Source organism: Homo sapiens, chromosome 9, assembly GCF_000001405.40.
Source record: "Homo sapiens chromosome 9, GRCh38.p14 Primary Assembly".
NCBI classification, from domain to species: Eukaryota; Metazoa; Chordata; class Mammalia; order Primates; family Hominidae; genus Homo; species Homo sapiens.
Window position 1 is genome coordinate 111,626,595 of NC_000009.12, and position 27,958 is coordinate 111,654,552.

The 27,958-nt window shown below is 43.0% G+C and overlaps 2 protein-coding genes and 1 long non-coding RNA gene across 4 annotated transcripts in view, besides 7 other annotated features; 2 read left to right on the forward strand and 1 right to left on the reverse strand.

Moving 5' to 3' along the window:
* Nucleotides 1–326: 326 nt before the first annotated feature.
* Nucleotides 327–4,609, reverse strand: LOC107987116 (uncharacterized). The gene is made up of 2 exons (XR_001746897.2): nucleotides 4,446–4,609; nucleotides 327–854 (listed from the first exon to the last, which is right to left on the reverse strand). It is a non-coding gene; the product is annotated as an uncharacterized LOC107987116 (long non-coding RNA).
* Nucleotides 4,604–4,693: an enhancer, noted in NCBI's record as "active region_28794". NCBI's record gives its function as "activates an Ori minimal core promoter by ATAC-STARR-seq in GM12878 lymphoblastoid cells {active_cell/tissue: GM12878}" and the evidence as "EXISTENCE:reporter gene assay evidence [ECO:0000049][PMID:35858748]".
* DNAJC25 (DnaJ heat shock protein family (Hsp40) member C25) lies at nucleotides 4,740–27,751 on the forward strand. 2 transcript variants are annotated; one of them, NR_037148.2, is made up of 5 exons: nucleotides 4,740–5,149; nucleotides 16,263–16,500; nucleotides 20,513–20,665; nucleotides 22,859–23,329; nucleotides 26,506–27,751. NR_037148.2 is itself a non-coding variant. In NM_001015882.3 (4 exons), exons 1-4 carry the CDS (start codon nucleotides 4,814–4,816, stop codon nucleotides 26,626–26,628), a joined length of 1,083 nt encoding a protein of 360 aa, NP_001015882.2. In that variant the 5' UTR covers nucleotides 4,740–4,813; the 3' UTR covers nucleotides 26,629–27,751. The 2 variants fall into 2 exon arrangements, 1 of the variants encoding a protein (NP_001015882.2); NM_001015882.3 differs by lacking the exon at nucleotides 16,263–16,500.
* DNAJC25-GNG10 (DNAJC25-GNG10 readthrough) overlaps nucleotides 4,740–27,958 on the forward strand; it is a 38,893-nt gene continuing 15,674 nt past the window's right edge. The window contains exon 1 of the mRNA NM_004125.4: nucleotides 4,740–5,149. Within this exon, the coding sequence (NP_004116.2) occupies nucleotides 4,814–5,149 (336 nt within the window). The 5' untranslated portion in view covers nucleotides 4,740–4,813. The remainder of the gene's footprint in view (nucleotides 5,150–27,958) is intronic.
* Nucleotides 4,784–5,073: a silencer, noted in NCBI's record as "silent region_20181". NCBI's record gives its function as "represses an Ori minimal core promoter by ATAC-STARR-seq in GM12878 lymphoblastoid cells {active_cell/tissue: GM12878}" and the evidence as "EXISTENCE:reporter gene assay evidence [ECO:0000049][PMID:35858748]".
* Nucleotides 5,424–5,473: an enhancer, noted in NCBI's record as "active region_28795". NCBI's record gives its function as "activates an Ori minimal core promoter by ATAC-STARR-seq in GM12878 lymphoblastoid cells {active_cell/tissue: GM12878}" and the evidence as "EXISTENCE:reporter gene assay evidence [ECO:0000049][PMID:35858748]".
* Nucleotides 8,453–8,597: an enhancer, noted in NCBI's record as "145 bp enhancer 227 fragment used in the MPRA reporter construct; PK_construct_1320". NCBI's record gives its function as "activates an SV40 promoter by MPRA in HepG2 cells {active_cell/tissue: HepG2}" and the evidence as "EXISTENCE:reporter gene assay evidence [ECO:0000049][PMID:23512712]".
* Nucleotides 8,519–8,530: a transcriptional cis regulatory region, noted in NCBI's record as "FOXA motif; enhancer activity is reduced when this motif is scrambled". NCBI's record gives its function as "necessary for full MPRA enhancer 227 activity {active_cell/tissue: HepG2}" and the evidence as "EXISTENCE:site-directed mutagenesis evidence [ECO:0005528][PMID:23512712]".
* Nucleotides 10,195–10,489: an enhancer, noted in NCBI's record as "tiled region #12797; HepG2 Activating non-DNase unmatched - State 19:H4K20, and K562 Activating DNase matched - State 8:EnhW". NCBI's record gives its function as "activates a minimal TATA promoter and a strong SV40 promoter by Sharpr-MPRA in HepG2 and K562 cells {active_cell/tissue: HepG2 | K562}" and the evidence as "EXISTENCE:reporter gene assay evidence [ECO:0000049][PMID:27701403]".
* Nucleotides 11,044–11,213: an enhancer, noted in NCBI's record as "experimental_105958 CRE fragment used in MPRA reporter constructs". NCBI's record gives its function as "activates a minimal promoter by MPRAs in K562 erythroleukemia cells, with activity observed for both the introgressed and non-introgressed 9:114400003 variant alleles {active_cell/tissue: K562}" and the evidence as "EXISTENCE:reporter gene assay evidence [ECO:0000049][PMID:34662402]".

Consider the following 27,958-nt stretch of genomic DNA (forward strand, 5'->3'; position numbering starts at 1 on the left):
GAACTTAGAACTCAGAGAAAGCTCTTCCCTGATCTGAGATTTTTAAAAATTGTGATAAAATACACATAACATAGAATATACTGTTTTAACCATTTTAAAATATACATTTTAAAGGATATCCAGTACCTGTCAAGCATGCATTTACTACTTCTTTTGCTCTGAGGGGAGAGTATGGTTGCCCTAGGAGCATGCTGCCTGCTTTCGTGGGGAAGAAACTGGCCTCTGTTGAGAGCTAACAGCTGCCACCAACCTGGTGACAAAGTAACTGACTCAAGCTGCATTAGTGTCCTAGGGCTGTTGTAACAAACAAAGTACCACACACTAGATGGCTTAAAGCAGCTAGAAATTTATTTTCTCACAGTTCTGGGGGTGGGAAGTCTAAAATCAAGGTATTAGCAGGGTTGGATCCTTCTGGGGCCTCTGAGGGAGGAGGGGTTCCACGCCTCTCCCCAGGCTCCTGGTGGTTGCCAGCAATCCTTGGCATTCTCCGGTTTGTGGTAGCATAACCCCAGCCTCTGCCTCTGTCTTCTGTGGTCATCTTCTCTTGTGCCTCTGTTTTCTCTTCTTTTGATGACATGAGGCCGGGCGGTGGCTCACGCCTGTAAACCCAGCACTTTGGGAGGCCGAGGCAGGCGAATCACCTGAGGTCAGGAGTTTGAGACCAGCCTGGCCAACATGGTAAAACCCCGTCTCCACTGAAAATACAAACATTAGCTGGTGTGGTGGTGCATGCCTGTAATCCCAATTAGTCAGGAGCCTGAGGCAGAATGATCACTTGAACCCAGGAGGCAGAGGTTGCACTGAGCAGAGATTGCACCACTGCACTCCGGCCTGGGCAACACAGCAAGACTTGTCTAAAAAAAAAAAAAAAAAAGACACCGTCATTGGATTAGGGTCCACCCTAAGCCAGAGTGACTTCACTAATTTACATTTACAAAGACCCTATTTCCAAATAAGGTCATATTCACAGGCACCAGGATTTAGGACTTGAACATATATTTTTGGGGGGACATAATTCAACCCACAACAAGAGCCATCCCCAATGTGGCAGCAAATAAACTGGTGCTGAACAGGGAAACCTGCACATCGATCTGTTTGCTTTGAGAAGAAAATATCCCTTTCTTTTTCCACGTTTGTAGTGTCCTTCAAGTACCCTCTACTGGCAGAGTTTAACATCCAGCCAGCTGGCAAAGGGGAATGGACTTTGCATCGTTCCCTGGGGCAAGGAAGGATGGGTTCAAAGCTCAGAGGCAATAAATTAATAACTGCCATATCAGGGGACCAAAGTTCTCTCTGCTTTGAAGTGAGCTTCAGCTAGCCTCATTCGATCTTCTTCATTTTATTTTATTGTGGTCACAACACTTAACATGAGATCTACCCTCCGAACACATTTATTTTTTTTCTTTTCTATGGCTGAAATAGAACTCGTTGTTGTTGTTTGAGACAGTGTTTTGCTCTGTCGCGGAGGCTGGAGTTCCCTGGTGCAAACTTAGCTCACTGCAACCTCCACCTCTCGGGTTCAAGTGATTCTCCCACCTCAGCCTTTCGGATAGCTGGGATTACAGGCGCCCACCACCACGCCCAGCTAATTTTTGTATTTTTAGTGGAGATGGGGTTTCACCATGTTGGCCAGGCTGGTCTCGAACTCCTGACCTCAAGTGATCTGCCTGCCTCGGCCTCCCAAAGTGCTGGGAGTTGTTTTGAGACCAGGTCTCACTTTGTCACCCAAGCTGGAGTGCAGTGGCCTAATCATATCTCTGCAGCTTCAAACTCCCAGGATTAAGCAATCCTCCCACCTCGGCCTCCCAAGCAGTTGGGACTACAGGTGCAAGCCAGTGCACCCAGTAAATTTTAAAATTTATTGTAGAAGCCGGGCGCGGTGGCTCATGCCTGTAATCCCAGCAGGCACATCCATTCAAACCATAGCACTCAGGGGTTTGAACTCTAATCTAATCTGAGGGGAAAGTTGAGTAAAAGTTACATCGCCAAATTTGCAATATGGGAAATTTCCTCTATCTGAAGGCAGCGTGGGAACTTCTTCAATTTGGGAAGAAGAGCCCTGAACAAGTAGCAGTGAGCATCTATAAGAGGAGCTTGCATGGAGGAAATGGACTGGGTAAGCTGCATATCTGAAAGGCCTCACGGGAGGCAAGGGTCAATGAGAATCCTCAAAGGTTTCAAATTTGGAAACGACATGATCCAATGTGGAGATGGTTGGCATCTACAACACAACATGTTTCAAGCAAATGCCCCATTCTACTCCATAAGTCTACTTTACTTCTGTGTTCCCTGTTTCCAGAGTGGTACCTGGTTGCCCAAACTGGGAACCTGGGCATTATCATGACTCACTCATCTCCTTCACTCTTCCAGAGCCAACGACTAAATACTGTCCATTTTGCTGCATAAATATATTTTAACTTTTTTCTATTTCTTTTCCTTTCCCAGAGCCACTACCTAGAAATAGACCTGTAGCATCTGTTACTTGGACTTTTTTTTTTTTTTTTCCTTTGAGACAGAGTCTTGCTCTGTCGCCCAGGCTGGAGTGCAATGGTGTGATCTCGGCTCACTGCAACCTCTGCCTCCTGGGTTCAAGCAATTCTCCCAGGCTCAGCCTCCTGAGTAGCTGGGATTACAGGTGCCTGCCACCATGCCTGGCTAATTTTTGTGTTTTTAGTAGAGATGGGGTTTCACCATGTTGGCTAGGCTGGTCTTGAACTCCTGACCTCAGATGATCCACCCACTTCGGCCTCCCAAAGTGCTGGGATTACAGGCTACTTGGACTCATAACTGTCTCCTAATGGTCTTCCTGATACATCCCAACTCATTTTCCCAGGCAGAGTAATGGTTCTGAAATGTCAATCCGAAGGTGTCACTTTTTGCTCAAAGACCCCATATTGGCCTTTCCATTGCTCTTAAGATAAGGAACAACTTCTTTGACATGGGATAAAATGACCCTTTGCAACTTGGCTTTCTCCAGTTTCATCTCCTACACTCCTTACCTCTACTCCTAGTCATATAGGTTGTCTTTCATTTTTTGAAAAGCTTTATTATTATTTTTTTCTTGCCCATGGCTCGTTTCTCTTCTTGGTACTTATTTCACACTCCCTTGTCCCCAAACTCCTCTCTAATTCACATCCTTCAAGCCATTCTCTATTCGTCCTCCAAAGTCAGTTTAGCTGTCAGCTCCTACTGGAATTGATGCTTGTAATTGATCCCGATCCTAATAATTTCAGGAGACCCTCCCATGTGTTTCCATTCATTTTATCTTTCTCATTATATATATATATAAGCATATATATAAGCCATATATAAGCATATATAAACATATATGAGATACAAATGTAAATAAGCATATATGATACACAAAATTGTTATTATATATATAACTTTTGTATCTCATTACATATACATGTATCTCTCTCATTACATATATAACTGTATATGTTGCTATATAGTCCCATGCAATATTTAGTGGGCTGAGGTGAAAAATAGACACATATATGTTATATATGTAATGACAGAGACATATATGTGTAATGAGATTATATATATTATATATGTAATGAGGGAGATATATGTAATGAGAGATATATATTTATTCAATGAGAAATACAAAATTATAATGTATATTCATTATGTATTATAAGTATATAATGCTATGTATCAGTATTTGATTTCACTTTATTAAAAGAGTTGATTATATCTGAACGTTTATTTATTTGTTACTGACTGTCATCCTCCATCAGAATATATGCTCTCTGAAGTTGAGCTTCTTGTTTACTTTGCTCACCACTGTATCCCCAGTGCCTAAGTAACAGTGCCCGGCTCAGAGTAGAGACTCAATAAACATTTACCAGATGAATGATAGAAACAGATTTTTTGAGGCAAAGTTTTTCATGTTGCCATATAGTCCCATGCAATATTTTGGACATACTTATACTAAAAAATTATTATCTGAAATTCAAATGTAGGCCGGGCACGGTGGCTCACGCCTGTAATCCTAGCATTTTGGAAGGATCGCTTGATCCTTCCAGCAGGTTGTCCCGGGAACGCGCAGCCCAAGGTGGACGCACAGACCCGCGTACAGAGATTTTTTATTGTCATGACTGGGGGTGGTGGCACTACTGGCATTTAGTGTGGAGAGGCCAGATATGCTGCTAAACATCTTACAATGCAAAGGGCAGCCCCTCAAAGGCAAAGAATTATCTGGTCTAAAATGTCAATAGCGTGGAGGCTGAGAAAAACTGAACTAGATGGCTATGAACTTTCAGGGTCCCTACCTAGTACACAGGCAGCGCCTAGAATTGCTAAGTTCATCTTCCGTTTGGAAAGGCAGCATGGGGTTAGTGAGAGGAAGGCGCCCGGGGCTGGTGGCTGGCTTTAAAGGCCTACGTGCAAATCTTCTTGACGCTGATAACGGGATGCGAGAGAGCCAGGTAGGTTACCTATTGCAGCAGGTCAAGTGATGATGTCGAAAAGGATGCGTGTGCCGGACACTGTGGAAGGTAAAGCGCTCCGCACAGCCCGCCTAAGTGCGCCCGGGACAGAGCCATCCCCCAGGTGCTACCAAACAAATCCTCCAGCTGCTGGTACGGGGAAGGTGTTCAGTGACACACCGGAAGCAGCCTAGTGGCTGAGGCGTCCTTCTCCCTACCAACGGGTTGCGAAGGAAGTAGTTGCTGTAGCCGCGCCCTGTGCGCCTGCGCGGAGGCGTCGGCTGCTGACGTGTAGCTGGGGCCAGACGGGACTAGCCGGGCGCGCGGCTGAGTGCTGCAGAATCGCTGGGGTGGCAGAGCCGCCAGCGAGGCTGGGGATGGGGGCGCCGCTGCTCTCTCCCGGCTGGGGAGCCGGGGCTGCCGGCCGGCGCTGGTGGATGCTGCTGGCGCCCCTGCTGCCGGCGCTGCTGCTGGTGCGGCCCGCGGGGGCCCTGGTGGAGGGGCTCTACTGCGGCACGCGGGACTGCTACGAGGTGCTGGGCGTGAGCCGCTCGGCGGGCAAGGCGGAGATCGCGCGGGCCTACCGCCAGCTGGCCCGGCGCTACCACCCTGACCGCTACCGGCCCCAGCCCGGAGACGAGGGCCCCGGGCGGACGCCGCAGAGCGCCGAGGAGGCTTTCCTGCTGGTGGCAACCGCCTACGAGACACTCAAGGTGAGGCCTGCGGGCGTGGAGGGGCTTCGAAGACTGGCCGCGGGAAGCCCACGGCGCCTTCCGACCCCGGTCCGCGGAGCGTGGGCCTCTGTGACCCCGAAACTGAGCACAGCCACCACCGCGACCTTTAAGATACTCACGTTTCCCACGTGGCCCTGTGAAAGAGCCGAGTCGGCCCCACGGGGCCTTGGGGGGCACAGCTAGCCTCCTTGCCCTCTTCCTTTTTGTGACATTGTTATGCAAAACTTTGGCCATCTTACGATTTCGTGAAAATATTTTAATAACGTGCATTTCACATTCGAAAAGCAGGGTGATCATTATTAGTAGGATCTGGGGTAGCCCACAACAGGGAAAGTCTCGAATATCAAGTGACAACTGTGATCGCATCAGTTTGATATGACAGAAAATTGGTTTCTGGAAATAGTGTTAATGGTGACGCTTAGTTTGGGTTTAAGGAACTAAGAAAACACTGAGAAGAACAATGAACACCAGTCAAAAGGCTGGATGTGAGTCTTTGCTGTGACACCCCTGTATGACCTTGGATAGTGACTTATTATGTTGAAATAGCTGTTTCTTCATATGCAAAATTAAGGCCATGATACCTCCTCTCAGAGTTATTATGGGGATTAAATGATAAGTGTGCGAACCGCCCCCCTTTCCATAGGATCCATAAATAGGTGCTTAATGACTTGGGTACAAAACTCTGAGAATTTCTAGTAGGAAATATTTTGTGAATATGTATTTGTATTTCATTTGACAGGTTTTATTGAGTCTTGTGGGGATGAGAGATTTAGCCCGATGCTGTTTTCTTCTACTACTGCAAAAAATCAAACCATCTAGGACATCACGAAGTATAAATCGTACTTGATGGTGGTATTACTGCTTGAAGGGCCCCATCATACTAATGCGTCAGCGATTGTAGTTGTAAAGTATTTCTTTTCTAGCCTTTTTTTTTTTTTCCCGAGGCAAAATTTTCTATGTTGCCAGGTAGCCTGCTTTTAATGATTGTACTTTGAGTGGATATAATTTTACCTTGGATTGTTCCTCCAGATTGTTTTTCCAGAGCTGAAAATAGTCAAGGAGCTAACAACTTTATTGATGCCTTCCAGAGCAGTTTGGATAATTTGGAGTCATAAAATGAGTGGTGGAGGGGCGGGCCCTGAACTAGGTAAACTAGGTGAATTGAACTAGGTAAAATTTAATTTACCTAGTTCATTAAATTCTCACTAGCGTTAGTGAGATTGTAATTTTTATTGGCAGTTAACTGAGGGATGGCTGGGGAACTGGGAAAGTGCTGAGGCCCCAAAGGGCTTTGTTGCCGATTATGTAAAAAGTGATGGAAAAAAGACTCCAGAAAAAATAGGAAAGAACTCTCCATCCAAGGCACTTCAGCATATGAAGCTCCAACCTCTGTTCCTTGTAGTCAGCCAGAAGCCCTGCTGGTGCGTGAGGGAGCCCTGGACCAGTGTGTGAAATCATAATGGGATTTACTAGGGATAGTAAAATTGATAGGATTAGGGATGTTAATCATGTTAATTTGTTTCAGGCGCGAGATGGTAATAAGGTTGTGGTGCTTGAATTTAGGTTGAGTGTCAGGAATGCAGTAGTTGTTAGGATGATATAGATAATTAGGTTAAAGATAGTGATATTTGGATTGTATATCAGTTATCCCATTATGATTTCACACACTGCTTTATAAACTAAGACCATGCAATAGTATTTAGTGTGTTTGACTTTTGGGGATTTAGGGAGTTTATGGACTTTGGAAGTTAAACAAGTGGACGCTTACCCTCTGTGTCAACCCATCTTCTGGAAGATGGAGAACTTCCAGAAGAGAGGGCAGCAGAAACACTGCCAGCTGTTGCCTTCTGCTGGGCTTTGTAGGAGTGGAGATGAGTAGTTTTGGCATGAGAATGGTGAGCATGTTGGTAAGAACTTTGAAAACAAGTGCCATGATTAGAGGGTAGAAATAGTGATGGTAGAGATTCCTGCTGGGAGGGCCACCAGGAGAGACTGATCAGTGCCCCCATCCCGGAACTGATCTGATGAATCTATATGGTTGCCTCTAAAGGTTTCTACCCCTAAAGTTTACCACTCATTGTCAGCTAATGAAAAGCTAGATAAAATAAGTGATCCACTCAAGATCAAGGAACGTTTAGGCAGTTAAAGACCAGTATGTCTGGAGTAGGTAACACTTGTACTCTTGACTCTGACGGGTTTGTGATAGCTACAAATATCTTGGAACAGGGGAGTGGAAGTGGAGTTGTACTGGTGGAGGAGGGAATGAGGGGAGTGTTCTGTAGCTCCCCCAGAACGCCCACTGTCTTACTGTGGAAATTATCTGTGAGACAAAAGGGATGTCTGGAGATATTTTGGACCCTGGAAAATCAGACCCAGCAGAACTCTTTGAAAACTTGCATTTTAAATTTATGGAGATGAACATATATTCATCTTCCAAGTGGAGCACCTCCAAGAACTATTTACCTCATTGAAGATGCTCTCTCTTGGAATAAGGATAAGGACTTTGACTTGCTGTCTGTGGGAGCAATTATTACAGGGTGGTCTGCTTTAACTTCTGTCATAACGGAGAATTGTGAGGAAGTTGCCAAAGAATATGTTTTCTGGGTAATGCAAGGTTTTAATGAACTGAGGTCATCCAATTTGGAGGGCTTCAGCCTTGCACATTATCCGTTGAGGCAATGGAGATGTAATGGCTGTTTGTTTGGATTGTATCCTCCGGCTGTAAAAAGGGTTTGTGAAGGATAAAAGGTCCAGGTGGCGTTTGCTAAGAGCAGGTCAGATAGAATAGTGGGAGAAGCTGAGTTCCAGTGGCTCTGGAATAAAAACGGGATGCAGAAGCCTGTATCTGAATGTTGATAATAAATGCATCACCAAAATGGAAACTATAATTATGTAAAACATCAGTGGATTTATGATTCTGAGGTGGTTTTGGTCAAATAAATGCCCTTTTGAGGGGGTTTTGTTTTTTTTTTTAGGTGGTGGTGGTTAAAAAATAAGTACACTAACATGACTTAAATACAGTTGGTAAGACAAGAAGATATGACATTTGATCATCACTATTTTAGCAAAAAGATTTTACCTGTGCATGGAGAAATGGAGGAAAACCAAAAAAAAAGAAGTGTGGGTAATAATGGAAGGCAAAGGCACTGGCCTCATGCTTTCACCAAGTCATGCTTAGTTCAGATTCCCAAATAAATTACAGTTCCAGATCTCAGCAAAACTTCAAACCATTATGATTTCACACACTGCTTTATAAACTAAGACCATGCAGTTGTATTTAGTGTGTTTGACTTTTGGGGATTTAGGGAGTTTATGGACTTTGGAAGTTAAACAAGTGGACACTTACCCTCTGTGTCAACATTGGATCTCATGAGGTAGAATAATCTGGTCCCACTTACATGTTTTTAAAGTGGCTATAGCACTTATCACACTGCATTTAAGTACTGAGTAGGTCTCTCTTTCCTACTAAACCATGCTCCTCATTTTTTGTGCGTATATCCATAGCACCTAGCACAGTGTCTGGCACATCAGAGCATTAATGTTATAAAAACTCTTATCTGGAGGCATTCAGATAGAATGGAAATGGAAAGTGGATTTCTGGCATTTTGACATTGGTATGTGCAACGCCCTCTGCCATTTCACTCAAATTAATTGCAGTTTTAAAGAGTGGTATAGATAAGTAAATTGGACGGTTATGAGTGAAAAATTCCTGCATGAGAGAAAAATTGCACTTCTACTTTTAATGTTCTGAGGGTTTTTAAGTGAGAATGATAATTTTTGAATGTAGATAAAAATTGGATAATACATGAAATATGAGAAATGGCATAGAAATAAGCAGATGAGAGAACAACTTGAAAGGATGCACTTAGAAAAACTATGATTGGTAAAAAATGCAAAAGCGTAGAATTTGATGGCATTTTGCAGGATCACAAGAAAAGAGCCTAGAAAAGGTCTTGGGAATATTTCTGGCATGAAGGTGAAGGCTATTTGATAAGTTGAAAGGATGTGTAGAGAGGTCATTCTACTCCAGACTTGTCTTGGAAGGGAAGCGTTACAACAACACTTCAGTTTCCTTTTACCAGTCTGATGTGGCAGGGCTTTAGCACTTAGGAAGAATTTAGCAAAAAACGATTCTGAACTCCCTGCCCTGTTACGTTTCTGTTTATTGTTCGTTCCTTATATTCTCTTACTCAACCCCTTCTTTAACTGGGACTGACATAGGGGCTTGGAGGAGACCATAACAAAGGAAAAGACACAGTTTCTGACTTAAAGTTTTTAATAACAAGGGAAACAGATACTTATTGTTCAGTTATTATATAAGTTATATAATACAAGTCTGTGCAGATTATATTGCTGTGCTGAGAGGAAGTGATTATGTCTTCTTGGATTAGAGAAGAATGTACCCTTTGAGTTGATCAGGAACGAAGTCACCAAGGTTGATGGTGAAAGGACATTTCTGGTAGAGGGGAAACTTGATCAACAGAAACATAGAGTCATGAGTGTGCAAGGCTTGTTCCAGGAATGAGATGTAGTTTCATGAGGTATTATAGTAATGAGCATTTTCTCCACCAAGGATCAGTTTTATGGTATTTGTCCCAGGGACTCTGTTTTGGGGAAAAAATGAACTGCATGTATTACTATTCTTTTTCAACATTTCCCAGATTGTATTTAATCAGTCATTCATAGTAATCGAATAATCATAAAAATATTTTATAATTATATAAATTGCTTTCTTTTTTGAGACAGGGTCTCACTGTGTTGCCCAGGCTGGTCTTGAAATCCTATGCTCAAGCAGTCCTCCTGCCTCAGTCTCCCAAATAGCTGCGATTACTGGCACATGCACCGAACCCTAAAATTATATAAATTTCTATTTTAGGTGTGATGCTGATAAACAACCAAATTAAGTTAATTTATAGTCCACAGATGGCATATAGTTTCCATTTCATATGCCAATCCTGATTGGTCATGATTACCTGGAACAAAACTCTTACCTTTTAAGAGTTTTGAGACCTTTTCTGGGTTTAGTGGGAAAGAGTAACATATTTGATAGTAATGTTTCCCATGGCCCTGGAAAAATGATGTGGTAGTGTATGTACCACATTTACTATTTCTGCTGTGAACCCGTAAATGTTAGTTTTTACTGGTTCGTTAATTTCAGTGGTTACTCCCTACTTATGGCCAAGGGTGATTATATACTAGCTGTGTTTGATCCTGGTGCCATGACTGGCTGACATGATGTAATCAACAACCAATCAGAGTTCTTAATCAACCTGAAAACTACTGACTTGATATAATACTAGCCAGAAACTGAGTACTAGACATTTTAATTTAGCTTGTACAGATTTATCGTAGGTAAATGGAACATTTTGAGATATTCACAGGAGTGCAAAGACCCTTACTGTTTTTCATAGACTTTAGGGGATCTGCTATTTCTAGGTTGGGAGCCTGCGAGGTGCCGTGGGAGGGAGAATGTTGCAGGATACTGGAACATAGTTTGGGATCAGATGATGAAGGACCCCTTAAGTTGTGTTCAGGAATCGGAACTTTATGTATTGAATAGTTACCAGAAGTTTTAAAGTGGAGAAATGACACAATCTTACGTTTGTTTTAGGAAGAAAACTCTGGGAGCAATTTTGAGAATGGTTTGGGGAGGGCAAAAAGGTATTCTTGACTGAACTCATTTTACTTACACTGTCTTCTTCTGTCATTCTTCTTCTGGAATCTTCTTCTGTCATTCCTCTTTGGCAACTTGAAAATCTCCTACTTGGTTCATTTCCCACTCCTTTCGCTTCATTTTGCTTCCTTTAAAACTACACTTACATTTTTTCCTTTCTTTGGTGTTCACTGTCTTTACTTTCTCATCTCCCTTTCATTCAAGCTGTCATAGACTGGCGTGTGCAGCAGCACATGTGTTGGAACTGTTCTTGTTGAGGTGAACAGTGACACTCTACTCACCAGATCTGATCAGATTGACTGCTCTTCATTTCTTCCTCCTCCTGGAACTTTGTGTCATGTGATATTGCTGACCATTTCGTTCTTTAAGGTGTTCTTCCCTGACTTCCTTGACGTGATCTTTGTCTGTTTCTCCTGTCCTCGCCATTTCTTTTCAGTCTTTATCGTCTTTTCTACTATCTACCCCTTAAGCATTGCTATTCTGTTGAGTTCTCCTTTGTGTACTCTTTTCTTTTTTATTTTCTAAGCTCTTCCTGATGAAACTCAACTGTATCCTTGACCTAAGCCACTGCTTTTAAGCTGACAGCTCTAAAACCTGCATGTTCTCCAGGCTCATATTTTCAGCTGCCTCTCCTCTGTAGCACAGGTACCCGCAATTAAACATGTCTGAAATCAGTCTTATCTTTGTGAAAGCATAAACTTCAAAAGAAGATATAATTATGACTCTCACAAATACAGAATGAACATGTGTCAGAGATTTTATTTAACATATTAATCAATGAGGGAACCAGTAAGATACTAAAACTAGTTGAAAGAGAAAAAGTGCCAACATTTTTAATCAGATAGGGAATGCTGAAATGCCTGTAAAACTGGAAAATACCTACCAAGCAATAATGTGTTGCATTCCACGGACATAATTTGTCTTTCTGTGAATAGGAGTCATTTGCATTATTTCCAGTTTTCTACAAGTTACTTCTGTCTCTAGAGTTAAAATAGGTTAGTCAAAGACAAAGGTGCACTCCTCTGCAGGAATAGATAATCCTTGAGGATCCAGAAATTGAAAGGATAGCTAGTAATTTTTTTTCTTCCTAGTTCAAAATCTTCCACAAGTTTTCCTTGCATCTTCTCCAAACTTGCTGTTTTTTTTCCTGTATTCATTATCTTAGTGAGTAACATTGTCTACGTAGTAACTCTAATTAAAAACTTTGGTATCATGTTCAACATCTCCTTTGATTCTTGTGTACCCCTTTACTTACCAAGTCCTATTCTTTTTCTTAGCTGCTAAAATCTGTTTCTCCCTCATTCGACTTTTTGCAATACTGCCAGAATTGTCTTTCAGAAATATATACTTCTACATAATGCTATTGTTCTCATACTTGGAAACATTTTTGTTTTTGAATAGCACAGTTGATAACATCCTAACTCTTTGGTGCAGCATACAAGATCCTCAACAGTCCTTATCCAAACTTGCCTTCCTAGCTATATTTACTACTCGTTTCTTCCTAAATTTCCCCAATGCTCAAGCTTCCCTGAATCCATGATATTTTTTGATACTTTTATACCCTTAACACTTGCTGTTTCCTTTGCCTGAAACAAGTTTCATTATACCTTACTTGTTTCCGAGATCCAGCCCCCATTTCCCTTCTGTTGTGAATCCCATTGCTAGTGTTTTTAGACAGTCAGCCCCTTGTTCCTTAGCACACTCAGTTGTGCTTTTCTTGCTTGCTAGATTCTTCTTCTAGATGGAGGGTTCTTGAGGCCACGGACCTGTCTTGTCTTTTATTCTCTTTTTGTGCTCAATACAAGGCCTAATGCCCTGCATCATCATTTTTGAAATGAAAACAACTAAAGTTTTTAAAAGCTCAAGTGACTAAGTAGATGCTGATAGTATTAACTGATACACAGAGGGATAGATTGGTTTTTGAGCATGTTGAGTTTGAGATATTTATGTTGCATTTAGAAAATGTTCAGGACATAGTTGAGAATAGGAGGAGGCAAGAAAAACAGTTACAAGCATTACTAGTATGTAGGTAATATTCCAAATCATGGAAGTTTTTGAGACTATGTGCAGAATGAGAAGAGAAGATAGAGAAGAAGATAAGTTGCACTAGTGACTAGTGGGCAGGAAACAAGAAAAAAATGAAATGGGTAGCAGTTAATTTTCTCCCTCTTTTATAGGATATAATGGCCTGGAAAAAAATTTAGACTAGAGGTTGTTTTTTTTTTTTGAAGGATCATTTCAAAAAAATGTGTGTGTGTGTGTGTATGGGTGTGTGTGTGTGGATTTAAAAAAAAATAGTAAGATTAATATATATTGAGTGAATACAGTAATACATTTTCATATATCATTGATTCCTGACCTTCACCACCCCAAAGATGGTTTTTATACTCTATGTAATAGAAAGTTTTAAATGTAAAACTAGGACACTCAGTGGGAGTCACTTTAAAGGCAAGGAGGAGCTCTCCCTCTCCCTCTCCCTCTCCCTCTCCCTCTCCGTCTCCGTCTCCGTCTCCGTCTCCGTCTCCCCATGGTCTCCCTCTCATGCGGAGCCGAAGCTGGACTGTACTGCTGCCATCTCGGCTCACTGCAACCTCCCTGCCTGATTCTCCTGCCTCAGTCTGCCGAATGCCTGCGATTGCAGGCACGCGCCGCCACGCCTGATTGGTTTTGGTGGAGACGGGGTTTCGCTGTGTTGGCCGGGCCGGTCTCCAGCCCCTAACCGCGAGTGATCCGCCAACCTCGGCCTCCCGAGGTGCCGGGATTGCAGATGGAGTCTCGTTCACTCAGTGCTCAATGGTGCCCAGGCTGGAGTGCAGTGGCGTGATCTCGGCTCACTACAACCTACACCTCCCAGCCGCCTGCCTTGGCCTCCCAAAGTGCCGAGATTGCAGCCTCTGCCCGGCCGCCACCCCGTCTGGGAAGTGAGGAGCGTCTCTGCCTGGCCGCCCATCGTCTGGGATGTGAGGAGCCCCTCTGCCCGGCTGCCCAGTCTGGAAAGTGAGGAGCGTCTCCGCCCGGCCGCCATCCCATCTAGGAAGTGAGGAGCGCCTCTTCCCAGCCGCCATCACATCTAGGAAGTGAGGAGCGTCTCTGCCCGGCCGCCCATCGTCTGAGATGTGGGGAGCGCCTCTGCCCCGCCGCCCCATCTGGGATGTGAGGAGCGCCTCTGCCCGGCCGAGACCCCGTCTGGGAGGTGAGGAGCGTCTCTGCCCGGCCGCCCCGTCTGAGAAGTGAGGAGACCCTCTGCCTGGCAACCACCCCGTCTGAGAAGTGAGGAGCCCCTCCGCCCGGCAGCTGCCCCGTCTGAGAAGTGAGGAGCCTCTCCGCCCAGCAGCCACCCCATCTGGGAAGTGAGGAGCGTCTCCGCCCGGCAGCCACCCCGTCCGGGAGGGAGGTGGGGGGGGCCAGCCCCCCGCCCGGCCAGCCGCCCCATCCGGGAGGGAGGTGGGGGGTCAGCCCCCCCGCCCGGCCAGCCGTGCCGTCCGGCCAGCCGTGCCGTCCGGGAGGGAGGTGGGGGGGTCAGCCCCCCGCCTGGCCAGCCGTGCCGTCCGGGAGGGAGGTGGGGGGGTCAGCCCCGCGCCCGGCCAGCCGCCCCGTCCGGGAGGTGAGGGGCGCCTCTGCCCGGCCGCCCCTACTGGGAAGTGAGGAGCCCCTCAGCCTGGCCAGCCACCCCGTCCGGGAGGGAGATGGGGGGGTCAGCCCCCCCACCCGGCCAGCCGCCCCATCCGGGAGGGAGGTGGGGGGGTCAGCCCCCCGCCTGGCCAGCCGCCCCGTCCGGGAGGGAGGTGGGGGGGTCAGCCCTCCCCCCGGCCAGCCGCCCCGTCTGGGAGGTGAGGGGCGCCTCTGCCCGGCCGCCCCTACTGGGAAGTGAGGAGCCCCTCTGCCCGGCCAGCCGCCCCATCCGGGAGGGAGGTGGGGGGGTCAGCCCCCCGCCCGGCCAGCCGCCCTGTCTGGGAGGGAGGTGGGGGGGTCAGCCCTCCGCCCGGCCAGCCGCCCCGTCTGGGAGGTGAGGGGTGCCTCTGCCCGGCCGCCCCTACTGGGAAGTGAGGAGCCCCTCTGCCCGGCCAGCCGCCCGGTCCGGGAGGGAGGTGGGGGGGTCGGACCCCGCCCGGCCAGCCGCCCCATCCGGGAGGGAGGTGGGGGGGTCGGCCCCCCGCCCGGCCAGCCGCCCCGTCCGGGAGGGAGGTGGGGGGGTCAGCCCCCCGCCCGGCCAGCCGCCCCGTCCGGGAGGGAGGTGGGGGGGGGGTCAGCCCCCCTGCCCGGCCAGCCACCCCGTCCGGGAGGTGAGGGGCGCCTCTGCCCGGCCGCCCCTACTGGGAAGTGAGGAGCCCCTCTGCCCGGCCAGCCGCCCCGTCCGGGAGGGAGGTGGGGGGGGTCAGCCCCCCCGCCCGGCCAGCCGCCCCGTCCGGGAGGTGAGGGGCGCCTCTGCCCGGCCGCCCCTACTGGGAAGTGAGGAGCCCCTCTGCCCAGCCAGCCGCCCCGTCCGGGAGGGAGGTGGGGGGTTCAGCCCCCCGCCCGGCCAGCCGCCCCGTCCGGGAGGGAGGTGGGGGGGGTCAGCCCCCCTGCCCGGCCAGCCGCCCCGTCCGGGAGGTGAGGGGCGCCTCTGCCCGGCCGCCCCTACTGGGAAGTGAGGAGCCCCTCTGCCCGGCCACCACCCCGTCTGGGAGGTGTGCCCAATAGCTCATTGAGAACGGGCCAGGATGACAATGGCGGCTTTGTGGAATAGAAAGGCGGGAAAGGTGGGGAAAAGATTGAGAGATCGGATGGTTGCCGTGTCTGTGTGGAAGGAAGTAGACATGGGAGACTTTTCATTTTGTTCTGCACTAAGAAAAATTCCTCTGCCTTGGGATCCTGTTGATCTGTGACCTTACCCCCAACCCTGTGCTCTCTGAAACATGTGCTGTGTCCACTCAGAGTTAAATGGATTAAGGGCGGTGCAAGATGTGCTTTGTTAAACAGATGCTTGAAGGCAGCATGCTCGTTAAGAGTCATCACCAATCCCTAATCTCAAGTAACCAGGGACACAAACACTGCGGAAGGCCGCAGGGTCCTCTGCCTAGGAAAACCAGAGACCTTTGTTCACTTGTTTATCTGCTGACCTTCCCTCCACTATTGTCCCATGACCCTGCCAAATCCCCCTCTGTGAGAAACACCCAAGAATTATCAATAAATAAATAAATAAATAAATAAATAAATAAATAAATAAAAAATAAATGTAAAACTAGCTGCAATATCAAATTATTACAATTTATGTACTGAGATCAAACAATTCATGATTTCCTTCAAGGGCAGGAACATAATATATTTTTGCCTCTGGGGAGGGGGGATGACCCTTTAAGAGAAGGAAGGATTCAGTACTTTCTTTGCTTGTGGGTTTCCTCTTGTTCACTTTTGATCTAGATATTGGTTATGTTCCAGTCCTCCTGCATATGCCCAAGAGGATTGGGAGTGGAATGGACACCAGCAGAAGCACCACAGTTATTCCTGTAGAGATTAGAAACAAGGAGCTTATTGCCCTGCTTGTCAAGGCTCAGGACAGACAGGAGGAAGAAACAAGTATAAAGGTTTTGGTTTTGGAAAGAAGTTGGAATCTCCAGACCCTGGGACCTTAAGATCCACAAAATTGCTGAAAGAAAAAGTACTACCTTATTGAAAGGTAAGATATTAAACTGTTTTAAGGTTTAAGCTATGTTAGCCACAGTAGCATATTTTCATAAACTATGAATTCAAGCAGTCACTTCTGCCAAACTGAAGTTTTTATGACATCGCCACCCATCCAGCCTTGCTGGTGAGATGGAGACCTATGTAGTGGAGAGATGCATATTGCAAGGAAAAACCTTCACAAAAGTTCACTCGTTTTTGAAATAATGTTTACTGAATGCCAGGCACTGTACTAGGCCTTGGAGTTACCCTACCTACTTTCCAGAACTTCTCATTCTAAGAAAAGAAAAAAACTGATGATTACAATGTGATAAGTGCTATAATAAATAGGTACCAAGTGTAATAAGAACGATCCAACTGTCTGGGGCAGTAATGTTTACATTCTAAAGGATTAATAGGACTCATGAGGTTCAAATTAGAGAGAAATAGACATTTGAAGACATAGGTATGAAAAGGAACATTGTGTTGGAATAACACACCAAATTCCAGAAATTGCTGTCTGAATGTTTGCTATGGGTAAAAGAGGGGAAACTGATAAGGGATGTTGCTAGGTAGGTAAGTTTGGACCAGTTGTGAAGGCCTGGTGGCATGCAAAGGAAATTTTAACTTTGGCCATGGGAAAGCACTGGAGATTAAAAAAAAAAAAAAAATTGTGTGGCTACCTTAGTTCAAGATGAGTACGAAAAAAATAAGAATGTACCTTAGCTTTCTACTTGAGTCCCAGAAGGATGGTCCTTCTTATTATGTCTTTTCTTTGCTAATATTCTTGGTATCCTCTTGTTCTTACTAGGTTGATTCTAAACTTTGTAGGTTACTAAAGAGCAGAATTTTGACTTAGGCTGTTGAGAACTCCTAAGTTTTACCTATTTGTGCTGCTCTTGATTCTAAAGTATATGCATGCCTCACTGATCATCATCAGTATGCATGAAAACTGATCATTTTCTTCATTTTGGAGAGAAAGCTTTAAGCCCTAGAATGGAGATAAAATAAGTTGAATAAATGCTGTAACGAGGAAGTGGCCAACTTTTTAGTCTAATCATGGCCAAAACAGGGTCATAAATTTGTGGTGACCCTAAAGAAAAGAAAACCATCCAAAGAGAAGTCAGACTTGACCCTGAGATGTCTTGCAGGAATTTGGTAGTTTGAGGACTCCATTAGGGGACCTTGAACAGATTGCACAGGCTCTGCTTGCAGTAGAGAGGCCAGACACAAGGTATAAATTTTGGAGTTGCTTGTGTTGGAGCATTAGTTGACCATTGTGTTAAAGGAATTCAGGACTTGGTAAAGTCAATAATCTAGAAACCAGTGAGAAAATGGTGACCCTGGTGAAAGATCTGAGTGAAATGTTTGAAGAGGGATGATATCTACGTTCTGTAGAACAGAGATAAGAGAACAAAAAGAGAAGATAGTCACTGGACACATGATGTCCGCTTACCAGATTTCAACGACACTCCAAGACCTTACTCCATATACTTCAACCAGGAGGAGTGCAGACAGCCGGGGCAAAGGGCTGCACAGAGACAATGAGGCTCATAGGAGTCTGATCTCCGTGTGGCATTTCGTTTAAAAGCTACATGTAATCTAGTTGTAGCAAGAAGAATTGTACTTGAAGAAATACGTTTCAAAAGGCATCTGTCATGATTGGGATGCCGAGTTAAAGTCAAGGATTTAAGGCGCCAAAACGGCATTTCTATAAAATTAGCCCAAAAAGCAGAGGGAGAATGGGAAAATTCTCAGATGATTTCTTGAGGTACTCAAAAGGAGACACATGAAGAGACACAGGCTTTAGTCTTCAGCGCTGTCTGTGTGATCCTTATATAGGTTTACCCTTTCTAGGTTAGGAGCTCTGGAATAGGATGATGACTTAAAGAAGGAGTCACGGATTGACAGTTGAGGCATATAGCAGCTGCCACAAGAAAATCCTTTTTGACTGAAGAGAACATACAAGGAGTGAATCTGAAAATAATACTAGCTTGAGCTCACACCTCGTTGTATAACTGAGAGTTTTCATATTGGCCCTCCATATAAATATATTCGTATCTAATTAAGCTAGCTACTAGTTTACATCGTTTCATATACTGGTGAGAGGTAAGAAATTGTTTGAATGTAATGAATATGGGAGAACTTACTGAGAATGATCTCACACAGATTCAAAATTTTTTTTTTTTTTTTGGAGACAGAGTCTCGCTCTGTCGCCCAGGCTGGAGTGCAGTGGTACAGTCTCGGCTCACTGCAACCTCCACCTCCCAGGTTCAAGTGATTCTCTTGCCTCAGCCTCCCGAGTAGCTGGGATTATAAGCACAAGCCACCACGACTGGCTAATTTTTGTATTTTCAGTAGAAATGGGATTTTGCCATGTTGGCCAGGCTGGTCTCGAACTCCTGACCTCAAGTTACCTGCCTGCCTTGGCCTCCCAAAGTGCTGGGATTACAGGAGTGAGCGCCTGTGCCCGGCCCAAAATTCTTAATAGAAAATACGTAATGATTTTAATGGATACAAGCAAGATTTAGTCATTAACAAATTTCTTACTTTAAATCTAAAAAACTACATGTTGGAGGACTCAGAAGGTGATCCTAAACAGACCCCAGAGAATCTGTCTGCAGTAGCAAGGCACTAAGTTTAGATTTTGAAATGCCTTTAGCTAGGAATCTGCAGTTAATAAATGTTGAATAATTCATTCCTCTAAGATAAAAAAAACTTTTTTTTTTGGAGACAGGGTTTTGCTGTCTTGCCCAGACTGGAGTGTGATGGCATGATCACATAAGTGATTTCCCACCTGGGGAACATCCTGGGAAGCTGGGACTATAGGCACATGCCACCATGCCCTGTGCAAATACAATTTTTTTTATTTTTTGTAAAGACAAGGTCTCACTATGCTGCCCAGGCTGATCTCAGACTCCTGGGCTGAAGCAATCCTCCCGCCTTGGCCTTCCAAAGTGTTGGGATTACAGGCATGAGTCACCACACCTGGCAAAACAGACTTTTGTTTTTGTAATGGTTTTTATTATACTCATATATAGAGATTAAATAATTTGTTTTGATTTTATAATAGTTTTTATCTTTAATTTTTTTGAAAATGGGGCAAGTTGGAAAATGTAATAGGTTTCCTGTGAGATAAAGAACAAATCGTGACCTGGTTTAATAACTCTGCAACCTGCATAGCTCAGTACAACATTGCATTTATCCCTGTTAGAAATTGATTAGAATCAGAGAATATATTTTTTTAAATGTTTTATCTGTGAACATACAGAGCAGCATTTTGGAATGCTATAATTCTTTCAAGGAGTTGGTATCGGTAAGGAAGATCTATATGTTACCTCATTTGTGACCTGGGCTGGACAACATATTATAGTGATGAAGTACTACATGTTTGTAACATGTTTTTGTATAATGTTTGTTATTTGATATTCACAACAACAGGGATTGTTAGCTCTTTTTGTGAATGAAGAAGGAGGAGGCTCAGAGAGGCTAAATATTTTATCTAAGGTCATAAAGCTAGACTTTGACCGTTGGGCTGCATGGGTGTCTCAGTGTTTCTTTGGGATGGGCATAATTCAGTTTTGTAGGCACAGACTGGCTTCACCTAGTTTTTGCTTTTAGCAGAAAACTATCTATACAAGGCTGGGACGTGATTGTGAATATATACAAGAAATAAGCATTAAAAAAAAATCAACAGTTAAGAGTAGTTGTGAACAGGCTTTTATTAGCACCAAGCATCAGCTAAAAAGGCTGAATGGTTAATAAGTGTTTTTATTTTTCCAGGAGGACTAACAATACTCAAGAACTTAGAGAAGTATTTTTGTTATGCTTTTATATCTAACATTGAAGTTCTGAAAATTTACATGGCTTTGAAGAGCAATGGGAAATTTTTTGATTTTGACAATTTCAGTATTTTTACTCAGATTAACCTTACATAATTATAAAATTCTATATGTGATTTAACAGATTATAAACTAAGGCCATTTAATGGACTGTCCTATGAAGTTGGATATCTTGTCATTTTACAGGATGAAGAAACACGAAAAGATTATGATTACATGCTGGATCATCCAGAAGAGTACTACAGCCATTACTACCACTACTATAGCAGGCGCTTGGCCCCTAAGGTGGATGTTAGAGTAGTGATTTTGGTCAGCGTGTGTGCTATTTCGGTGTTTCAGGTATGTATCAATGGATATTTTTATCTACATTTATGTGCATTGAGTGCACATTGCCTAGTGCTAGTCATTAAAACCTAACTGCGAGTATCTTCTTGTAAAATTTTACTTCTAGTTGAGATCTGTTTTAGTCATTGGCAATGTTGGAATCTTTGTCAGTGGCAAATCTAAGAAATTGTTGAAGAATGTCATTACTACTACAAAACAACCCCTCAAAAATCCAGACCCTTTTTCATTGTTCCCTCTGGAGTATTTTCTACATAATAGCCAGAGTGAACGTCAGCTAATTCATATCATTTACCTCTGTAGGACTTTTCCATGACTTACCATTAAACTTGGGAGAAATCTGAATTCCTTAACCTGGCCTAACAAGTCCTGGCACCAGTCACCAAATGCCAGTAGTGCTTGCCATCATTATTGTAACAACCAGAAATGTCCCATGCATTTCTGTGTGCCCCTTTAAGGGTGCTTCTGCTCAGGTTGAAAACCACTGAAATAGATTAAAAGAGGCATAGGAACTTTCTGTTTTTGTTTTTGTTTTGAGACAGAGTCTCGTTCTGTTGCCAGGCTGGAGTGCAGTGGCACAATTTCGGCTCACTGCAACCTCCGCCTCCTGGGTTCAAGCGATTCCCCTGCCTCAGCCTCCTGAGTAGCTGGGACTACAGGCGCGCACCACCACACCCGGCTAGTGTTTTGTATTTTAGTAGAGACGGGGTTTCACCATGTTGGCCAGGATGGTCTCAAACTCCTGACCTCGTGATCCTCCTGCCTCGGCCTTCCAAAGTGCTGGAATTACAGGCGTGAGCCACTGTGCCCGGCCAGGAACTTTTTATGTTGTAAAGTATCACAAAAATTTAACTTCTGCCTGAAATAAGTTTTCCCTGTTATTAAACTAGCCATTCCTATCACATGCTCCTTTAAAGGAAATGAACAAGTCAAATGACTAGAATGAAGCAATCTGCTTGTTTGAAAATTACTTCTCCAGTTTCATTCCCAGAAACGATTCAGTTTTTTTTTTTTTTAGAGATGGAGTCTCACTCTGTCACCCAGACTGGAGTGCAGTGGAGTGATCATGACTCACTGTAGCCTTGACTTCTTGGGCTCAGGCGATCCTCCCACCTCAGCCTCCTGCATAGCTGGGACTACAGGCATGTGCCACCACACCTGGCTAATTTTTGTATTTTTTTTTTTTTGGTAGAGACACGGTTTTGCCGTGTTGCCCAGGCTGGTCTCGAGCTCCTGGGCTCAAGCAATCCACTCACCGCAGCCTCTCAAAGTGCTGGGATTACAGGCATGAGCCCCTGCACTTGGCCGACATTCAATTTTTATGAATAAAAACTACATTGGAAACTAAGGTGGTATGTTTAAAATGTGTCAGCATTTGTAGAACGATTTACCCTTTCAAAGGGGAGAGCAGGGATAATTTTACTTTTTTGTTTTAAACAATCTAATACTGTAGTAACTTTTAAAAAAATATTCTTAATAGATTGCTACTATTGCAGGGTATTATTTGTATGTCTGCTATATTCATTCAGTTAATCAGGAGCTGAAATTTATGGAGGTACTATGTGAGGAGCAGGGCATTTTCTGACAAATGCTTTATGGTTGAATACATTTATGAAGTAAGTTAATGTTCTCCTGTCCAAATAGGTAGAGTTCAACCATATTTGAGTCTCGCATCAGAATAGGATGAGTGCCACTGTGATATATGCAGATTGGCTTAGGAAAAGAGATGGGAATGAATGTAGTTGCCTGAGTCTATACACTATGAGTTTTTTAAACAAATTCCTCACCAGCTAGATTTTGCCATTTAACTCTTTCTCTAGTAAGTAGGTTGCTGTTTAAAAAAAAAGAAAAAAAATTTTTTAAAGTGATCTAGGGAAGAGCCAAATGGTAAAGATACGAACCACAGGTGTGGTATGATACATTGATTAGCCTTTGACCTTGGGTCACTGACTGCAGCAGTGATTTTTGGCTCAGCTCAGAGTTTACCTTACTTATCCAGCCTTCAGATCCTGTGTACGCATGGGCTTCGTTCAGTTGTGTCTTTTACTTACAAAGTAAGATCTTTGAGATCCCTATTTTTAATTGTAATGGTTTCTTGGGAGATGGTATTCACCGAGACTCTATCATTCCTTTAATTTAGATGAATTTGGGTAATGAAAATGACTCATTGTTCTCTGTTAATTATTCTAGTTTTTCAGCTGGTGGAATAGCTACAATAAGGCAATCAGCTACCTAGCCACAGTGCCCAAGTACCGTATCCAAGCTACAGAGATTGCCAAGCAGCAGGGACTGCTCAAAAAAGCCAAAGAAAAAGGCAAAAACAAAAAGTCCAAAGAAGAAATTCGTGACGAGGAGGAGAACATCATAAAGAACATTATAAAAAGTAAAATAGATATAAAGGGGGGCTATCAGAAACCCCAAATCTGTGATCTTCTCCTGTTTCAAATTATCTTAGCTCCTTTTCACCTATGCTCATATATAGTTTGGTATTGTCGGTGGATCTATAATTTTAACATCAAAGGCAAAGAATATGGAGAGGAAGAGAGATTATACATTATACGTAAATCTATGAAGATGTCAAAGTCTCAATTTGATAGTCTAGAAGATCATCAGAAAGAAACTTTTCTTAAACGAGAGCTCTGGATCAAGGAGAATTATGAGGTGAGTAGTCACCCTGCTGTGATTTAAGTGTCATCCACCTGACCAAGTTAAAATCAGGTGTATTATAATGAGGGATCACAGAAGTGTGCTCACATTTCTGAAATCCTAGAGTTAAACAATTAGTAAAGACCTTTTATTGAAAGTAGGACTCTATTTGGTAGTGAGACGGTGGGTTTTTAACCTGTAATTTCTCTTTTTAGAGGATGAACTTCAAATACTTTAATCAACAAATTATGAAAACGTTTTAAGAATGTTAAACTGCATTGGAATGATATGCATGTTTGCAAGGGTGTTACAACAACTTTTGGGTAACTGCACTAAAATTTGGCCCTTCCCAAGTTTTCTTCCAATACTGTAAACCTAGCCACAGAGACTTAAAAAAAAAAAAAAACAACAGAGTAAGACGTGGAAATTTTGTTGAGATGACTTCATTTCAAAATAATTGAGCACAAGATATTCTGCGTAATAACTGACATCTATAGAAAGTTACTTTTGTTTTACTTTTAAATTAAATCGAATTACTGTAATGCCTCTAAACTTTCAGGCATTTTAATAAATGCTTTATGCTACAGTTGTCACCTACAAAAATTACTTCGAGGTGATCCGCTACCTAGCCATCATGTTAAAGGGATTAGCAGTCTCATTATCATAATGACACTGTTTTAGATTCAGGATAAAATTCATTGGCTATTATGTTAAATATAAGAATAGAGCACAGTGAAACCTTTTTGTTTTCTTTCTTATTTTTATCATATAGTGTTGGGGTTTTGCCATGTTGTCTAGGATGGTCTCAAACTCCTGAGCTCAAGCAATCTGCCCACCTTGACCTCCTAGAGTGCTGGGATTACAGGCATCAGCCACTGCACCCAGCCAAAACCTGCTTAAGAAGTCTGAGATACATTAGTTTTTTTAGTTTCATAGTCATTTCATTTTGTATGTGATGTCCTAAATAGATTTCACTGAAATTAAAGTTTTGGTCTGAATTATATTTATGTAAATTAACTTACTGTGAATTGCCCGATGTTTTACCAAGTATACCTGTTCATAAAAGTGTTATTTAGGGCTGGGTGTGGTGGCTCACACTTGTAATCCCAGCATTTTGGGAGGTCGAGGCAGGTGGATCACTTGAGATCAGGAGTTCAAGACCAGCCTGGCCAACATAGTGAAACCCTGTCTCAAAATACAAAAAAATTAGCTGGGCCTGGTGGTGCGTGCATGTAATCCTAGCTACTCGGGAGGCTGAGGCAGGAGAATCACTCGAACCAGGGAGGCAGAGGTTGCAGTGAGCCAAGATTGTACCACTGCACTCTGGCCTGAGCAACAGAGTGAGACTCTATCTCAAAAAAAAAAAAAAAAAAAAAATGTTATTTAGTTACAGCGTACCAGTTAGCCAGTTAGCTCCTAAACTATTTGAAAAGCTTGTTCTTTTAAGTACTTTTTTAAAAGTTTAAAAGTTTTCTTTTTTAAGAAGGTAAAGCAGCTCAATCTGCAAAACTGTGTCTTTCTTAGGGTGCTATTGTGGGGTGAATTATATGTTATTGTATGAAGTTGTCTTAGTCTTTACTTCCTAATATTTGGAAGTAAAATAATTTCTTTCCAAAATTTGATGTGGCTGTGAAACTGGCTAAGACAGCTTGTTCATTTTGCTTTAGTTGACAGCATTAAAAGTTACAGAATTGCAGGCTAGGTGCGGTGGCTCATGCCTGTAATCCCAGCACTTTGGGAGGCCCAGGCAGGCAGATTGCTTGAGCTCAGGAGTTCGAGACCAGCCTGGGCAACATGGCGAAACCCTGTCTCTACCAAGAAAATACAAAAAATTAACTGGGCGTGGTGGTGCCTGTGGTCCTAGCTACTCGGAGGTTACAGTGAGCCAAGATTGTGCCACTGTATTCCAGCCTGGATGACAGAGTGAGACCCCATCTCAAAAAAAAAAAAAAAAAAGTTGCATAAATGCAGATGTTCTGTGTTCTCACAAGTTTTAACTCTGTGGTTTATTTAACCTTCTTTGGAAACTTTAATTTAAAAAAATGAAAAATTCATAATTAGATGAAAGTAGGTGTAAGTTCAGTTTGGAGATAAACATGTATGTAAGGTCATTTTGTTCCTTGGTTAAGATCACCAAATCTGAAAGTCATCAGTTAAATTTACAAAGACTATATTAAAAAAATAAAGTTTTGATTCTTTAATATTAGACATTAGTTGTAGAGAGGAAATGTTAAGCCCTTTAAACTCAGTCAATTTTCATTGAGGAAAAGAATGTATTCCTAGGTTACAGAAATCAGTGACAAAAAATTACTAGTTCTAGGCAGGGTGCAGTGGCTCACGCCTGTAATCCCAACACTTTGGGAGGCCGAGGTAGGTGGATCACTTGAGGCCAGGAGTTTGAGACCAGCCTGGCCAACATGGTGAAACCCCATCTGTCCTAAAAAAAAAAATACAAAAAAATTAGCCGGGCGTGGTGGCATGCTCCTGTAGGCCCAGCTAGGGAGGCTGAGGCAGGAGAATTGCTTGAATCCAGGAGGCAGAGATTGCAGTGAGCTGAGATCACACCACTGCACTCCAGCCTAGGCAACCAAGAGAGACCCTGTCTCAAAAAAAAAAAAAAAAAAAGTACTAGTTCTTTTTTTTTAAATTTGAGATGGAGTTTCACTCTTGTTGCCCAGGCTGGAGTGCAATGGCATGATCTCAGCTCACTGCAACCTCCGCCTCCCAGGTTCAAGCAGTTCTCCTGCCTCAGCCTCCCAAGTAGCTGGGATTATAGGCATGTGCCACCACGCCCAGCTAATTTTTTCTATTTTTTTTAGGAGAGACGGGGGTTTCACCATGTTGGCCAGGCTGGTTTTGAACTCCTGACCTCAGGTGATCCACCCGCCTTGGCCTCCCAATGTGCTGGGATTACAGGTGTGAGCCACCACGCCCGGCCACAAAATTACTAGTTCTTATACAGGTTGTTCTTTCATGTTTAACACTGAATGTTAAAATGGTAAATTGCAAATAAATAAATAAATAAATAAATAAAATGCTTAATTGTTTAGTATTTTAGGTGAATGGTTATCAATACATTCACTGGAAACTTTTTACCTAACATTATGTTAGAAAAATGTAAATATGCCATAAAGCTAATGGCAAATGTTCCTCTTTGGATTGTGAAGTCATCTAGTTATTTATACTTACAGGTCTACAAGCAAGAACAAGAGGAAGAATTAAAGAAAAAGTTGGCAAATGACCCCAGATGGAAGAGATACAGGAGATGGATGAAGAATGAAGGGCCTGGGCGGTTAACATTTGTGGATGACTGAAGATTGATGGAATGCTACTATGCCAAACCTTAATTGTGATATTATTTTCATAACTGAATTATTTTAGAAATGTATCAATTGACTGCTGCTCAGCAGTAACTAAAATTCCTCAAGTATTTGATTAAACAGAATAATGTCAAAATTTAAACCTTCCCTTAAAACTTTATACATAAGACATTTATGATTGTTCAATTTTTATAATCTATTTGTGGATTTTGTTAAAAGATTTCACATGAAGATTTATTAGTTGCCATTTAAAATTTTTATATGTTTAGTTAAAAGATTTGACATGAAAATTTATTAGATACCATTTAAAAATTTTATGTGTTATGTGTTTATTCTTTGAGAATGTTACCTTACTGTTTGTAATAGTGCTACATTTTTCTGCTTTCATGGCCTCTGTATTTTCACAAAACACCAAAAACAGCATTTAATTATATTATCATGAGTGTGTTTCTGGACACAAACTTCTGCAGTAGAATGACCTAACATGTCGTTTTCATTGCAGTCATTATAGGATTGAAATACGTTCAAAATAACCTCTCTAGGAAAGTCTTCTGCTAGAATTTCTCCCCTCTATTCATTATAATATTCTTTGTTTTTAAAGCCAGTCAAATATAATAGTCTTAATAAGATCAGAAACTCTCCAGGAGAGTGAGTCTACCCTCACGTCCTTGTAGGATGATCTTGATTATAGTCTTATTATAGGACTATAACTGTATTCTCAACATTTCTCCAGAAAGGACCTTGTAAAAAGGTCTTTTGTACCACAGTATTGGTTTTTTCCCCTCTCTCTTCACTTAAAAAAAAAAATAGCAAGGCAGAAATAGTGTATTGAAAAGTTGTTCATCTATTATGAAGTCCTTGAGTGGTGAAAAATCCGTTGTACATGAGAACATTTCTATGCATTTAAGCCAGAAACGAGGTACATGGCTGTGTGCTCTTCTGTCAACCAATGAAATGTGTTTTCACATGTGTGGCAGTGCAAGTAAATAACACATTATTTGACTGAATCAGGCATGATACTGCACCAAAGTGTTGGTACATATTCACGGTAGTAAATCAGTACCCCTGTTAAAGGATTTATCCCATTGCTTCATATTAATAAAATGGTTACAATATATCACAAGTTTGTTGATATGACGTTTTAAATGAAACATTAAAATTGCTTTTATATAATTTTTAAAGATTAATATAGCATAGTTGATATGCAGAGTCTGTTTCTAGCTAAAGTAAGCTAGTTGTTTTGAGAGCTTAGCCCCAGTCAATGTGAGACAGAGCAGGAAGGCTCTTGCTAACGTAGACAAAGACCTGAGGCAAGGTAGTTAAT

Bases quoted from the DNA above. Each gene is read 5' to 3' on its own strand.
- DNAJC25 (NM_001015882.3), top strand. From the start codon at position 4,814: ATGGGGGCGCCGCTGCTCTCTCCCGGCTGGGGAGCCGGGGCTGCCGGC. The intron at 5,150-20,512 runs GTGAGGCCTGCG...GTCATTTTACAG, and splicing joins CCGCCTACGAGACACTCAAG to GATGAAGAAACACGAAAAGA. The intron at 23,330-26,505 runs GTGAGTAGTCAC...TTATACTTACAG, and splicing joins GGATCAAGGAGAATTATGAG to GTCTACAAGCAAGAACAAGA.